At 40.5% G+C, this 17,441-nt stretch overlaps 1 protein-coding gene across 4 annotated transcripts in view; it reads right to left on the bottom strand.

Annotated features, from left to right (window-relative positions):
- The window catches only part of GRM7 (glutamate metabotropic receptor 7), an 880,419-nt gene that overhangs the window by 20,922 nt on the left and 842,056 nt on the right, over positions 1-17,441 (bottom strand). The gene's annotated exons all lie outside the window — the stretch shown is intronic.

Raw genomic sequence — 17,441 nt, 5'->3', positions numbered from 1 at the left:
AAGTGCTCAGGGAGCACTCATTCAGGGGAATTGTTAGCACGGATATTTGGATTCTGGGAGACTGAGGAGCCCCCTTTTAGGCAGTGATACCCCCTGGCAGCAAAGCCTGGCAGGTAAGATTCCACTATTCAACATCACCTTCCTTCTTCCTGAGGGGACCAGTGCAGGACACGCTTTGAAACATAAATGCAGGATTTGTTTGGGCTTGGAGGGAAGATCTGAAATAAAGAATGTAATCACAGGCCAATTTTACATTTCTCTTGAAATTTTGAGAAATGGTTATGGCTGGAGGAAAAAAAAAAGTTGAAGATTGCCTAACTTTTACATTCCTCAAAAAAAGGAGATGGTATTGCCCAGGTCACAATGTGAGAGGCAGTATGAAGTCATAGTTAAGGTGAGGCTGCTCATGTCAAAGTTCCTGGATTTAAATCCCAGCTTTGCTGTGATCTTGTGAGAGATTGTCAAGTTTCAGGTTTCTTGCCTTTAAACTGTCTATAAGATGAGGAAAATGATAATAGTGATTGTTGGGAGGATCCAGTGTGATGCTGTATGTGAAGTGTGTAGCACAGTGCTGGACATTTAAGAATATACTCTTATTATGACCATCATCACCACCACCACTACTACAACCATTATCTTCATTTACTTTATGATTCCACCATCATAATTATTATCAAAAGCTAGTCATCTGTATGAGACAATGAAATTCAGAAGGGTGACCGTATAAAAACTCAACTGGAAGTCCTTGTTTTATAGGCTGAACTCCTTTTGTAGGTTATCATTTCTGTGTGTGTGTGTGTGTGTGTGTGTGTGTGTGTGTGTGTGTGTGTGTTGCCCAGTGGTGCAATCTTGGCTCACTGCAAGCTCCGCCTCTCAGGTTTATGCCATTCTCCTGTCTCAGCCTCCCGAGTAGCTGGGACTACATGTGCCTGCCACCACGCCAGGCTAATTTTTTGCACTTTTAGTAGAGATGGGGTTTCACTGTGTTAGCCAGGATGGTCTCGATCTCCTGACCTCATGATCCGCCAGCCTCGGCCTCCCAAAGTGCTGGGATTACAGGCATGAGCCACCGCGCCCAGCTGTAGGTTACCATTTCAACATGAAATTGATGCAAGACATGGGATTGCCAGCCTTTGCTATTCCTTACTAGAGAGGTCTAAACTCTGAAATTGATCTTCAATACAATCCCTTAGGCCTTTAGTGAGGAGCTTTCCAAAACTGTGATAGTATGTAAGAAGACTATATTTTTGCAAAGAAAACGCAGGGGCACAATTAGATAGTAGATCTTCATATCACTTCAGAGAATGGCCATCTATCTCTAGATTATTGAGTTTGGATAAAGAAATATTTTACTTTTGGAGACACTTCCAGTTTTTGGTGGCAGCAACATGGATAATTCTTAATATCCAGGCTGTCTAGGACAAGCAGGGTTGTTGTGTTACTAGGGAGAAAAACACTGTATTTTCTGACAAGTACTTCCAAATAGCGTTCCCTGGGGTAGTCACCATACCCTTGGGTCTGTCACCTCAAGCCATCATAAAATTCACACCATTACCACAACCACCCATCTCATTGGGAGAATGAGGTAAAATATCAGGCAATAAATATTTACCAAATCTCCAATATGAATCATACCAGGTTCTAGTGCTGTGATAGATGCACAAACATATGAGACATTGCACCAGCCTTCAAGAGACTTCTAAGCTGGGACAAGAACTAAACCACTTATGAATATACCAAAGTCTCCAATGTCAGCAAGATCATCACCAAAGACCCTGCTGTTCTAGAGGCAGTGACGTCTGAAAAATCAGTCCTGCATGACCTTATGCCCAGGGAGTTGTTTCCTGAAGCAGACCTGGAGGCCAATATGTCAACCACCTCCCAACTAGGAAGTCTAGACTGTTGACTTGGCAGATGGTCTTTGGATAAGTCTCCTCCCCAGGTAGGCCTGGTCTTCTGACTGGGTGGCTTCTGGCTTTTTAAATTTCTATTTTTATGTCTGATTGTACTCTTGGTGTGCTGTGGGTGAGGTGTCTCAATTTCCAACTCCCTGCTATCTAAGTGAATAATTTTCTCTTTTTTGGCTATATTCTATTAATGCCGTATTTCCAAGTCTGAGCTCTCCTGGAGGCAGGGATTATTTTTCTGCAGTCTTTTTAGTGTTGCCTGGGTTCAAGGCCTTCTCTTTTGTTATACCTAAACCCTTTATAAACAGTCAGTGAGTTATAGGGTTCATTTGTTTATTGTGAGAAAAATATACAGGGGAAGGAAGAATGGGATGAAGCTGGACTGTTCTCAAGGACTATTTAAAATGGGAAGGGAAGGGATTATATTGCATGGTTGATGAAAGAGCGTTTGCTTAACAATAGTGATGGTTAACATTTACAGAGCGTGTCCTATGCTCAGACATGGTACTAAGTGCTATGCACAGACTGCCTCATCAACTCCCTGAGAAGATGCTTTCATTCTCCCATTTTGCAGATGGGAAAAGAGAGGCACAGAGAGGTTAAGTATAACTCCCAAGGCCCCAGGGTTGGCTGAGCTAGGCCATCTGACTCCAGAGTTCATGTGAACCCTGCAAACCTCTTCTTTTAATAGGCGATGTCACTCTTGCTAGTCCGCATCATCTTGGAAAATGGAAATATTGTAAGGCAGAAGGGTGAAGGAACTGAGCAGATTTAATGACATGTAAGGTCCTTTCTTCTGAAATGTACTACCATACCTCTGATGCCACAGTGAGTGATTCTGATAACACACAGGTATGGGTTTGAAAAGCAGAGAACAGAGTTTGTCCATAGTAAGCATCTCTGGCAGAATTGTCTATCTTGAATACTCTCTCCTTCCTCCCTGCCTCTGAAAGATCTCATACTGGGGCATAGAATCTCATTTCTGTCTAGTACTGGAGACTCTCCCTTCCTGTTGCTGGTGGGCCATTGCACCTGGCTAAGCTAGAGGTTGCCAACAGATATCAAGAAACAAAGACATATCAGTTGATGGGACAGGAGTTTGATTTATCTTTGGCCACTTTGTATTTGAATCCAGGTTTCCGTTTAGCTGGTTATAATTTCTAATTTCTGCTTTCAAAATAGTATATCCATTGCCTCCCTAAGGACCAGCTCACAGAGATGATGTATTTGAAAGCCCTGTGGCAGGATGGCTGACTCTGTTTTCTGGTGGAGAAAAAATATATACCAGCATTTTCTAGACCTTCCGCAACCACCTGTGCAATTTTTTTTTTAAATCAACCTGATTTTAGCTTTCTAAAACTTCAGTCAGCAATAGGGTTGTGCTGTGGTTCTGTCTACTGGAAAATAACTTTGTGTGATTTAATTTTTTTTAAGAAGTAAGTTTTGGAAGTCTTTTCTGTCTGTTTTTTGGTGATTTCAAAATGAAAACTAAAATTGACCCATCTATAATTCATCCATTTTTAGATGGGAAAGAAGAAAGTGTGTCAAAATCACCATTTTGAAAAAAAAGGAAGGGAAAAACTATCTAGTTTGAAGAAATTAAGACAATCCCAGGAAGATGTGCAGTATTCTATCCTTCCACACTTACAGTCTTTGTACAATTAGCACCAGTGGTCAGAAAAGTGAACCAGAGGCCCTTTCAGAATTCCCACCTGAGCAAAAATAGATAACACTCAGCCTGCCTCATCAAGTAAACAGAGTACAGTGATATATTTTTGAAAATAAGGATTTCAATCCTGTGAAATGAAACAAAGGGAGGATTCAGGTAACCCCAGGTCAACCAGAAAATTCAATAAATCTCAAGCACACAATTTCCCTTGCTCACTACTTAATCAAAATGTTATTGGAATTGGTTTGCATGAATCTGCTTACTTTTCAACTGACTGTACTGATGTCCTGTAAATACAGCCCAAATGTCAATTTCTGTAACAGAGCCAACCATAAAAACAAAATCAATCAGCAGCATCATTCAACCCATGGGAGTAGGATGTCCAAATGTTAGGTATTCAGGCTAGACTGGGGCTGTTAATTTCATTCTATTTTTGCATCCTCTGTGACACTGTATGAAAAAACTCAGTCACTGTTTTGTCCATGCCATATTTTCTTTCTCATAGAAACCTATAGATGCTTTCCCATTTGTTAATATATGCCCCTGGCTTTGAAATGTTGACAAGTACTAAATATTGGTATCACTTTTGCTGGAAATAGTATTGGATAATGTTCAATTTACAAACTCTAATCTATATTCTGAAAAGTATTATTTTCCCTGTAGGCAGAAAGAAAGGGAAATGAGGGCACTAATTGTATCCCAGCCCTTAGGTTGTGGAACAAGTTAGTTATGGAACGAGTGTGGGGAATTGCTGGCCAAAGGAGTAGATGCTTTAGAATGGATTGTAAGAAGGAGACAGCTTGTGTGCCATTAGCAGAATGCAAATGGACATGGATACATCCATCCCATATGTCTCTGAACTAGGAAAACACCCCCCCACAGCATGATTAGAAAGCTCTCTATTGGCCAAAGCTCCAGACCTTTGAATTAGATGTTGGGTTTTCTCAGATACCCCTGCATTCAAGACAGGTGATAGGTTCCTTGGGAGAGGAGAGCCTGGTGGTGCAGGAGAGGAGGCTGGTAAGGAATTAGAAGGGGGTGAGAATAACACTGGGGAGGAGAACCTGGCTTGGGTTAGGGAAGGGCTGCTGAATCCCTGCAGCCTCTTTTTAGGAGGAGGTGGAAATGAGCAGAGTGGGAGAAGAGACAAATACCTGCAGTAGCAAGTGAAGAAGAAATAGGAAGGAGACAAATGATTCAAAAACTAAAGAAGGCTGAATTGGAAACCTTTATGTTGCACTTATTTCTCTCTGTGTATGCCAGATACATGAGTGGAGTGTTCATATGTGAGATTCAGGAACCCAAGTGTGCGGGGTCTGAATCCCTGTTCTGTGATTTACTGTGTGACTTTGGCAGGCTGGTTAAACTCTCTGTACTATTCAATAAGAGTTTGTTTAGCTCTTTAATAAGAACAACAATGGAACCTACTTAGTGGTTCTGAGGATTATATAAGTAAAGTACTTAGTAAACACAGACACTTAGTAGACATTTAGTAAGCACTCACTATTAGTATGTCAGTCCTTAGTAAATATATGTTACCATCTCTTTCCTCCATTGCTTTATTTGTTTTGAGACAGGGTCATGCTATGGCGTGGAGTGCAGTGGCATGATGGTCGCTCACTAAAGCCTTGAACTCCTGGGTTCAAGTGATCCTTTTGCCTCAGCCTCCTAAGTAGTTGGGACTACAGGCACATGTCACCATGTCTGACTAAATTTTTATTCATTTATTTTTTATTTTTGTAGAGATGGGGTCTTGCTATGTTGACCAGGCTGGTTTTGAACTCTTGGCCTCAAGTAATCCTCCACCCTTGCCCCCCTGAAGTATTGGGATTGCAGGTGTGAGCCACTGCACCCAGCCACCATTGCTTTCCTTTTGTCATAGATAGAGTAGAAGATGTGATACAGATAATTTCCTATTGGGTCATGCAGTGAGAATTCCTTCAATCCTTACTAAAGCTGAAAGTGAGAAGAATCGGCTATTTATCTCCCAAATCGAAGGCATGTCTATGTTCCTGCAAGAGCCTTGAATGCCATGATTTTGGCAAGGAGAAGCCTTGGTTCAGCCATTGCTTTGGCTGGGAAGAGAAGCTACCAGATGGGTGACTGTTCATTGCCATTGGCATGAGAACAAGATCAATTTAGCATTTTGCACCTGCAAACCTTCATAGGTGGGAACAAAGCTATGTTCCAGTTCAACACTGTTGCACCAATAGACCTCTGGTTTTTGATGGTGTCCTTTGGTCTCGCAAGGAAATGGACTCTGTTACAGGACCCAAACTGTTCTTGGATAGAGGATTTATCCACAGAGGAAATTACGTGCTGGTGGGCTCTTGGCTGGTACAACCAGGCTGCTGAGTAGATATATGCACACAAAGTCAGCATTAGGCAGATTGGGAGAGCAAACTTGTGCCAAAGAGCATGTTTCAAACTGTAATGTGTAGAGGAATCACCTGGGGATCTTGCTAGAATGCAGATTCTGACTCAATCTGCAATGGAACCTAAGTGAATGCATTTCTAACAAGCCCCTGGTGACAATGATGCTGCTGGTCGACAATCCAAACATTCAATGTAGCAAGGTAATAGGGGACATTTCTAGAAATTCACGTCTTTGTCAAGTTCTGTTTATCACTCTTGGCCTTGTTGGCACACACACAGTTTAGAAGATAACTGGCACTTTTCACATGACTGTTTAAATCTGGGAAGTTGAGATAACTGAAGAGACCCAGTTGGATTTTATTCTTTGTTTTGAGATATGGAAAGAGTTGCCTCAGTTGTCCTACTCTTTACTAGATATGTGTGAAAAGGCCTTGTGCAAATATCTCCTCCCCCAGTTTGATTTGTTTAATAAAGCCTTCAGGTTAATTCCAAGCCTTCTGGATGGCACAGCTCTGTAGAGTGTTTTGTTCTCCATCCCAGTTTCTTTCACTAGATAACCTTGGCAATACATATTCATTGAAATGGGATTTTAAAAACTCAAAAACAAAAACAGAAATGCATGCTTAGCTGAGATTGGTTTTGCCTTTCAATTTTGCATCACAAGGCCTGATGCAAGTGGCTCTCTCTGCTTACTTTCAGTAAAGAAGAGACTCTGCGGATGGCTCTTAGGAATGCCCTTGTTTTTGTTCCCATCAGCTACTTAACTAAATGTGTGTTTCCACTTCCCAGGCAATGAGTGGGTGGATGTCTCAAGGCAAACTCTACCCATTGCTTTAAAAAAAAAAAAAAAAAAAAAAAAAAAAAGAAAGCATCCGTGGCTCTTCCAATTGAGAGCATCCCAGGAGCAAATTCTGTTTTATACCTTTCTTTCTGTTGCAGTTTTACAATTATTATGCTGTTAACATGCATTATTCAAATAATTTTTTTTGGTACTAATCCTTGAACTACTCTCTGAGCTGGCTATTATTTTCCCTGTTTTAAGATGAGAAAACTCAAATTCTGATCAGAGAACTCATTCAAGGGTGCTGTAGAAAGTGGAGGTAGAACCTGGATTTACACTCATATCTGCTCTAGAGCTCCGAACTCTTAATACTACTTGGAGTTTGACAGGGGCCACATTATAGATTGGATTGTGTCCCCTGAAAAGATATAGTGAAATCCTGGCCAGGCACGGTGGCTCACACCTGTAATCTCAGCACTTTGGGAGACTGAGGCGGGTGGGATCACTTGAGGTCAGGAGTTCGAGACCAGCCTGGCCAACGTGGTCAAACTCCATCTCTACTAAAAATATGAAAATTAGCCAGGCATGGTAGTGGGTGCCTGTAATCTCAGCTACTCAGGAGGTTGAGGAAGAAGAATCGCTTGAACCTGGAGGCAGAGGTTGCAGTGAGCCAAGATCTCACCACTCCACTGCACTCCAGCCTGGGTGACAAAGCAAGATTGTCTCAAAAAAAAAAAAAAAAAAAAAAAAAAAACAAAACAAAATTCGAATCCTCTCTATCTGTGAATATGACCTTATTCAGAAGTCGGATCTTTGCAGATATAACCAAGTTAGAATGAAATCATACTGGATGAGGGTGGGCCCTAATCTAGTGATTGGCATCCTTATAAGAAGAAGAAAACTTGGACACAGGCAGGTAGACACAGAGGGGGAAGGCCACATGAATGAAGACAGAAGCAGAGATGGGAATGATGGAGCTACAAGTCAAGAATCACCTGGGGCTGCCAGAAGCTGAAAGAACATGAAGGACCTCTACTACAGGCTTCAGAGGAGGCATGGCCCTGCTGCCACCTTGATTTCAGACTTCTAGCCTTCAGAACTATATCCAGTTCATTATACTTTCTTTAGGTAACACAGGGAAAGTAACATAGGCCAGGATTATACACTTGAAACTTTGCTAAGTGTGTAGATCTTAGCTTAAGTGTTCTTACCACAAAACAAAACAAACAAACAAAAAAAAGAACAAAGAAAAAATAAAAATCAAAACCAAATACTTAACAAAGGTGAGATTTAAGGAAACCAGTGGTGGTGGGGCCTGTTATTAAGTGAAAAGGTACTTAGATCTACTGTAATTCAGGAAAGAGGGAAGGAAAGAAAATTTAGATGTGAGGGTGGGAGGAGAGGGAAGGATCCAACAAAAAAGTGCAAGGGTAAGAGAGAGAAGGAGAGGGAGGAGGAAGAGAGAGAGAAAGTCATCTTTCCACAATAGGCCTTTGGGCTGGGTGCAGCTGAGGATGCCACCAGGTCAGAGCCCCAGCACAGTCCTACAGCCCCCACCCAACCTATGTTAACAGTGTATCTATGGCATATACTTCATAGGCCTTATTCATATCATACACATTATGAGAAAGGTGTGGTTTACTTTCATTCATTTTTATAATTGTGAAAAGTGAGGCCTAGAAAGGTTTACTTGCTCAAAGCCTCCCAAATGGCAGAAGATGGAGCTGGGTCCCTTCTGTCTGGCACTTCCCTCCACTGCCGCTGGCACGGGGAACAGGAAGGCATGCCCCGCTAAGGAGATTGAGTTTCTCCTGGAGTGCTCATAAGTCAAAGACAAAAGAGCTGTGATGGGTACAGCGCAGTCTGCTGTGGCTCAGTCATATGTCATGATGACAGAAATGCTCATTTTATGACAGTCACTAACTGCAAAAATCTTGAAATATCTTCTTGGGCTATTCATTGGTTTAGTTACAGTGTAGCTCAAGTGGGTACAGAAAGAACAGGAGGTAAGCCGACTGTGTTTGTGCTCACTGTTTTGGGAGCATATGAAACACCTTGGAGTGGCTTGTCAGTTTCTGCTCTTCACAGACATTTCCCCTTTGGAAGGAGCTGATCTTTGAAAGGCGCCAATGGTGCCGCGTGTGTAACACACAGGCGAGGCATCGAGAGAACTAAAAGAACGCGGATAGGGAGTCATGGCCCAAGATCGGTGGTTGATTCATTGATTCAGAGTACAAAGCTTTGGTGCCGTCCGAGTTCCAGGCAGCATGCCTTTGAGAAATGCTATAACGGGAGTTAGAGGTGGCTTAGGTCATGTTACAGTCTTGATTACGAGACTCCAATGGCTTCCCTTTAATCTTTGAAACAGAGACTGAATTCTTCTCACTGCCAGCTTCTCACTGGACCAGTGGACCAGTTTCTAACTGCAATTCTGACCTCATTCTGTTCCACTTTCCTGCTCGCTCACTACACTAGCCTCCTTGCCATTTGGGTGCCCACTAAATCTGTACCTGCCTCAGGGCCTTTGAACTTGCTGTACGTGAATCATATCTTCACTGCCTGAAATACCTTCCCAGGTATCTTCCCATGGTTTGTGCCTTCTCATCATTTAGTCTCATCTCAAATGTCACTTCCTTGGGGACATCTTATCTAAAATAGCAACCCCCAGCCACACTCTATCTTGATATACTGCCCTTATGATTTTCTGCATACATATTCTTTATCTTTCTTTTTCATTAAAACATAAGTGCCACTTGGGTAAAGATTTATCGTGGATACCACTGTGTCTAATACTTAGGGACAACTTGCCAATGATGGGTTGAATAAATGAAACAGAGCAACCAGAAAAACAGTGTGACAGAGGCAGTTTCAGGGCTGTGGGAGTACATAGGAGGGACATTCCTGTCTTAGGCAGTTAAGATCAGAGACATGCCCAGAAAACGTGACTCTAAGCGAAGTGCTGAAGGCAACGTGAGGTTGAGACAGGTGAAAAAGGTGGGGAGGATCTTGGCAGAGACAGTGGTACATTTGCAGGGATAAATGCTATTTCACATGATGGGGTGAAGATTATGGCATTGAGAATTGGGGAGATAAGACTAGGGCAAGATCTTTCAAGAGTTTTATACCCTGTGCTGATGAGTTTGGGTCAATATATTCTACACAGTGAAGGAAAGAGCCCAGCATCTTCTGGCTTGTGAAGTTTACCGGGGAAGGACTAATGCCCCAACTTTGCTCCACCCTGTCATTTCTTAGGTAGAAGCTGAGAAATGAGTGTCAGTGGAGACAGACAATCAGGCTGTATTTTCAGAAATACTCAGTGGAGCCTCAGATTTATCCTCTGGTATGGGGCTCAGGTTGGTTTCCTGATAATGCTCCTTTTACACCATCTGGCAAGGTTCCAGGAATGTGAGTGACAAGGCAAAACAAGGCACCCTGAAATTACCTATAATGAAAATGACTGGTAATCTCCAGCGATTACTGTGTTTGTGAGTGACAGGGCTGCACTTTGTGCAAAATCTTTTGCTACAGCAAAAACAGGTCCCGTGGCATTTTCATGTTGAGGTTTTTGGGGTTTTGTTTTTAAGGAAAATAGCTTCAGATCTTTTGCATTACGCATTCTTTTGCCTTCATAATGAGTCTGATTACAGATATCTAATGTACTTTTTGAAGAGATATGTAAGTCTTTAAAAATATAAACCCAAGTTAAAATGAAAGCAATAGTATAATTCTTATACTATTAAGAACAGTATACCTTTTATAGTATTGTTTATATATAATAATATATACACACATAATATACATACTTATGCATAGTACTTATGTACTATATTTATAATCCCAAGAAGTGGGGCAGCATTCAGATTCCAGAAGTCCCACCCATGACCTGTCCGAATTCTTGGAGCAACCACAAGTCACAGGAAAAAAGGGAGCTTGGGTCAGGAGGGCGCCTAATGTGCATTCCAAGGCTGACGTATGGGGAATGAAAGGTGGACCTGGGTAGCCTAATCATCTGTCTCCACTGGCACTCATTGTCTTCTGTGGAAGGCAGCTTCCTGTAATGGAGATAAGGAGTCTAGAAATAATCGGGCACATTCTCTGCTCCCCAACTCCAGAAACACAAGTTCTTCCAAACCAATGCAAGGAGTTTTGGGCTGTGTTTATTTTTCCTTGAGTTTGAGAACACTGAACTGCTTATTGAAAGCAGAAATCTTCACACTTGTTTGGAAATCTTACTCAAATGAGTCCTACTGGGAAACCCAAAATATACAACGAATGATGGGGAACTTGTGGTTGACACAGAGAGGAGGAGCCCACTGAGCCACCCACATCCCCTCACTCTCTGAGGCTCCACTTTCTGTATTCTGAAAATACAGCCTGATTGTCTGTCTCCACTGACACTCATTTCTCAGCTTCTACCTAAGAAATGACAGAGTGGAGCAAAGTTGGGGCATTAGTCCTGCCCCAGTAAACTTCACAAACCAGAAGATGCTGGGCTCTTTCCTTCACTGTGTAGAATATATTGACCCAAACTCTCTGTTCCAAACTATGCCATTTTTCTATCAAAGTTTGTAAACAAGAAATACATGCATGCATACACACAATTTTAAAATTATATGTAACATATTTTATAGAATTATATTCTTATATTTGTTTATACATTGTTTAATTTTGACTAAAACATAAATGCCACATGAGTAAGGATTTATCATGGATACTATCCTGTCTAATACTTAGGGACCGCTTGCTGAAGATGGGTTCAATAAGTGAAATAGGACAACCACAAAAAAGTTGAGATTTTTTCAGAGGATGGATGTTGACTTTGACTACAGAGGTGGTGGAAGGAAGTGGTAGGAGATAAACAATGTATCGGGTAAAAGCAACAAGACCTGGTGATTGAATTGACTTTCAATTCCACTTTTCTAGTCTTCAAAGTCTCAGTTGTGTGTGCATACACACAATTTTTAAATTATATATAATACATATATTCTATATTTCTATTTTTATATTTGTTTATATTTATGTATAAATTACATTTATTTTTTCTGATAAAGAAATTCCACCCTAACCCCAAGCCAACTCACATCTCATCGGAGGTACTTCCCTGGGATCCTACCCGGCTGCTGGGAGAGCTAGGGAAGATCAACCGTAGGATGTTGGGATGTCATGCTATTACGAGTGACTGGTTTCCAACCTCTACTACTGCCTTCAAACTCTTTCTGTCCCTCTTCCTGGAAAACTCCTTTGCTCTTATGAATGAAAGTTTAGGCTCGCTCTTCAAACCCTATTACCTTCCTGTCCCTGTACCTGTATAAAGTTAAATGCACCTTATACTTTATGTTGTCCAACAGACCATGACCTTCCTCTCTGGCAACCCCCGATCACTTCAAGACATGGATCAGACGTCACCTCTCTCAGGAAGCCTCCTCTGACTGCCTTAGGCAGAATGAGGACTTTTCTTCTTGTGCCTACAGCACTCTGTGCTTTCTGTGCAACCGGCCAGTCTACCACATTTGTGATTTTTTTTTTTTGCCATGTTTGCTTTTCTATACTATTATTTGATGATTGTTTTCTGTATATTAACCTTACATCAACTCATATTTTTAAGGAAACTAGGCTTTACTCTATATAACAAAGTACATGAAAGCACGTGTTCAAAAATAAAATAAATGAGACAAAAACCTCACAAAGCCAAAACCTAGCTAGATGGTGTTGGGACTGAAGGTTTGAAAGTAAAAAGAGAAAAAAAAAAGATTTGGAGAGGCAAATAAAATGACAGAAACCAGTTTATATCCTGTAAAATCCTATAATTATAGGAAATTAACCAAGATGAGTGTTCCATGATATTCCCAATTTTATAAGCACTCAAAATTCAGTCTCTGAGTTTGGAAGTTAAAAAAAGGCTTGCTTTATAGGGCATGGGAAGTAAAAAAAAAAAAAAAAAAAAAAAATTGAAAGCTTCACAGCAATATGTTCTATTGTGGTACCACAAAAGTGAACTCTGATAAGAATGAAGTTAAATGGCAAATGGGGCAAACTATGAGCATACAGCACAGTAAGTAGACATGTGCAATGGTTCTGGCTTGGCCAGAGAGGCCATAGTTAAAGAAAAGACAAAGGGAGCTTGGAATTTTTGTGGCAGAGACAGCGAGTAGTAGACTAGTTCCTGGGGCTGTTTTGGAGGCATCTGGCCTAAGAGATTTTGGAAATTTCTGGTGATCCTAAAGGCTCCACCATCTTCTGGTGTTTTGTAAATAGTATTTTCATTTTCCTTTAAAATAAATGGTTTAATTATTAAAAAAAATAGATGCCAGGCCAATGACTGTGCCCACTTAACATGGTGCTCTTGGTGATTGTGCTGTCACTTAAGCATTATTCAAGTGGCGGCCTCCATGGAAACTGCCCGATTGTAATTAATGGCAAAGCACACGTGGGCAGTCATGCTAAACAGGAAGTCATCCTGCCTCTCAGTTCCCTTGTGACTTTTCCTCAGATACAGGAAGGGAAGGCCTTAGAATCTGGCCCATTAACTGACTCAGTGGGCAAGAAATGACTAAACCAAGAAACTCAGACTATGGAGAAAGGTTAAAATGCTGAAATGTAGCCCAACTTCCTTTTTTGTCAGTCTTCTCAAGAAATGCATTTTTCTCCTAGTTGGTCACAGGAAGTAGGATTTTTGAAGCTAGCAAGGGAGGAAAGATAGAGAAAGCCGTTTTCTATCTAAGAGGTGCAAAACTTACTTCTGCGCAAGGTAGAATGTAACCTCAGTTAATTTAAGCTGCTTATTATGAGAAAAGTAGCATATTTTTCTATAAGCTTATACTCTCATTTCAATGCAGTATTGATTTTTAACTTCATTTCCACTACTAGTCACATAAATCATTTTTTTTGATGTTACTGGTATATTATACATAAAGAATTTAACCTTTCCCAAAGAGAGGTCTGGCTCCTTGGAGACGATCTTTGCTGGTCTGGGTGCCTCCTCCTAGCCAGATAGTGACCATGCGATTTAGGGTGGTGGTTGGTCATGCAAAAAATACCACATTGTGAGTTATGGCAGAGGCTTTGGGTCACATGGTGTCAGTCAAACTAAAGACTGAGTTCAACCACATAGGCAATTAATCAGTCATGCAAACATAATGGAGCACCAGTAAACATTCAGAACACTGAGGCCCAGTGAGCTTCCCTGATTAGCAATACTCTGCATATTGTCACACAAAGATACAGGAAAGTAACATGTCTATGACTGCATGTGGACAGGACTCCACATTTGACACTTCGCTTGGACCCTGTCCCATGCACTTCCCTTGGTAGATTTTAATCTATATCCTTTCCCTGTAGTAAATTGTATTGTTAGTATAACAGCTTTCATTGAATTTTCGGAGTCCTTCTAAGCAAATTACCAAAACTTAGGGTAGTTTCGAAAAATCTTCCCTCCAAACTTGCAGTTGGGGATGGTCTTAGGGAGTGTTCCTTTTAAAGTTTGCAGCTTGCCTAAATTCTTCACACACATACAAACTACAACATTCTGCATAGGGTCATACATATAATATATAGACAGATAGAGATATCTTTGTAAAGATCTCAAAATAATTGGCCTTGTGTATTGGAGAAATTTCACTCTACTCCATAGTATGGATAAGTGATCAAAAATACAATCAAGTGAATTTGGGCAATATGGCTCTATAAAGATGCAATCAACCTACTTGTTTTTTCTATGTCTAGGGCTATAGAAGTCAATCTGAGTATGTAGGTAAGCTCTGAAGTTCAAGTCAGTGGGATTTATTATGGGTGGTGAAGTGGAATTGAAAGTTAATTCATCTCCAGTGTTGTTGTTTTTACCTCTGATACATTGTCTCCTTCCACTTCTTTCCTGCTCTACCACCACCTCTGTACTCAAAGCCAACATTGATACCTCAACTTATGAAATATTTCCAAGCTGAATTGTTCCATGTGGCAGCTAGAGTGATTTATTTTAGATACATAATTTAGATCATGGTACTCTTTATCTTCTTACCTTCTGTGATTAAAACTCTTAAATGTCCTCCCAATGCTCTTAGAATAAAGTCAAAACATTCCTGAACTGGTCTGCAAATATTGGTGCCACTTGATGTATATTAATTTCCCAGGCTTTTTCTTGAACCACACTTCCTGAGGCTCTCTTATCTCTAGTCACACTGGCCTTTCTTCGATCTTTTACATTTACCATACTCCCAAAGCATGGCCATTGCACAAGTTCTCTTTGCCTAGCTTTCCCATCCATTTTGTGTTTATTAATGCCTACACATTGTTCACACAAACCTTTAAGAAAGCTGCTTTTGATCTCTGTAGCTTTGTTTCATAATTCCCTCTACTTCTTATTCAGAGGTTTTTCACAGTTGCAGTTTTGTATTTGTTATCAATTGGTAACCTGTGTCCCTAGCTGGAATGAGTGGTTTGGATTTGGGTGGATCCATAGTCCTGCACTTTTCACAATGACCTCATGCCATTTTGATGCAGGTAGGCTTCAGACTGGACTTTGTTTAGATAATGATTGTGGGGTAGGATGCTAGCAGCTGCCACTCTGAAATTTTAATTCGAATGAGTAATTGTAGAGTAAACATTGCCACCCAGAATAATCATTTGTATCTAAGAAGTTCTTTCAGATGTTTTGTGCCCTGGTTGATTTGTCCTGAACGTTTCTTTCAAAAAGGCCTTCACATTCAAGGATGACATGGGTAGGAGAGTTGGCCAAGGTGAAGCTATTTTGGGCTTCAGGGCTTCAGAAATGTGTAGAGTATATGAGATACTCTAGAGGGATCACCCTCTAGACCTTGGCACAGCAAGTCAAGACCTGGGGGGTAATCTTGCTTATCATGTCTAGCCAGCACAAGCCTTGTCTGGAGTCTTGAAGGCTTCTCGAACAGAGAAGGAACTGGTGATTTGTCCCAGGTTTTCTATAGTTAAGCGAACAATTAATGATATCCAGCTCTTGCCATTCTGCCGTAAAGCATGGCCAAGGAGGTTCTCTATCCACCTGAACATGAGGTTCAGTACATATGTTCCACTGCCCAGGGTGGACAAGAGCCCTGTGGAGCTCCAGGATATGCCCAGAGAGCCAGGCATTTGGGGACATCAGGGAAAGATGGCTGGATGGGCATTCTGGCAGGTCTAGGTCCAGCTGCCAGTCCATATATTTGTGTTCACGTATATATTGAATACTTCTTTCTATTGTAACTGATGTACCCTTTTGGTAGCATCCTGGCTAGCTGCATGACAACAGTGCAGTGTATTCAACAAATTAAAATATCGTTATTTTAAAAACTTAAAGCTTGGATAGGATTAAAAATTAATTCATATTATCAAAAGACATTTTAATATTACATTTTTTTCAATAAAAGAGAAGCTATTGGATTGTTCAAATATAAATTCAACTGTTACACATTTCTGAATTATAGAAAAAAATACTCTCAAACTTTTTATCATTCACTCAGTGTTTTTCATTTATGTTCTCTATAAAGAATTTGAAGAGAGTATCATCAAAAAGTCTTGACCAGGAATTTTTTTATAACTCTTTTATGCATATAAATTGATGTGAAATAGCTGTTCATGAAAGCAAGCCTGAGTTTTATTTTAAAACGTTGAAAATACTAGGTTTTGAAGTTTGATACAAAATAAACATTCAACCGCTTTAAAACTTTTGAATTTAGTAATCATACTTAAATAACAAGTGATTTTTTTCAGCAAGCTTTACATACATTTCCCTAAATCCTCTCCAGTTTACCCAGTGTGCTTTACCAATGTTATCATGTTTTATATGCACTAAGACATGAAAAATCACTGTTTGAATGGATGCATAGAATGGACAATCTATTAAGTCTATTTTGTGTGCTGGTCAATGGAACCCAGCAGAAATGATGGATGGGTTTAGAAATTGGCTGCAAGGAACAAGGGCTTCTTATTTTGGAGACAAGATAGTATGAAGGGACAGTTTCATTCTGACAACAGCTTATAGGTAATCATTTTTGAAAATGAATTTTGTATGTGGCCTCAAGATACAGAACTTGGTGCAAGCTTTATGAAAAGCCATGTGAACTTAGTAACTTACACAGTCTCTCTAAGCCTCCATTTCTGCAGGTATCAAATGTATATTATAACAACTAGCTCAAGGATAATTGTCAAGCATGAATGAATTATCTTTGTAAAATGCTCAGTATAGCACCTATGCCTAGTAAGCAAATGGGAAAGACTGGGCCAGATGGTAGTAGTTTCCCTATCACTAGAAGTATTCAAGCATATTATGGAAGATCACATTTTTAGATTGGCACAATTAAAATAAAATCTTTAATAACCCTAAGATCCCCTGTATAGCTGAAACTCCCGGATTGGAAGTGGCAGAGCCATCTCTAGAATAAACACCACAGCCCAGGGTGTAGGCCATCCACCAGATTAAAAAAAAAAGTCTTAATGTGAAATCTTTCAATGAACCCTCATAAGAATTTTTTAGTAAGAACATCGATGAGGACCCTTGTCTTTCTTAAGAAAGAACTTACAGTAGCATGCATCGGACTTACTTGGGGGGGTTGTTAAAACACAGATTAATGGATCTAAACCCCAGAGTTTCTGATTCAGCAGGTCTGGAGTGGGGTCCCAAAATTTGCATTATTAATAAGTTTCTAGACATTGCCGATGCTTCTGGTCCTAAGATCAGAGTGGAGAACATTAGAGCAAT

This window comes from Homo sapiens, chromosome 3 (assembly GCF_000001405.40).
Source record: "Homo sapiens chromosome 3, GRCh38.p14 Primary Assembly".
NCBI classification, from domain to species: Eukaryota; Metazoa; Chordata; class Mammalia; order Primates; family Hominidae; genus Homo; species Homo sapiens.
Note: the sequence above shows the minus strand (reverse complement) of the source record. Positions and strands in the feature narration are given on the sequence as shown.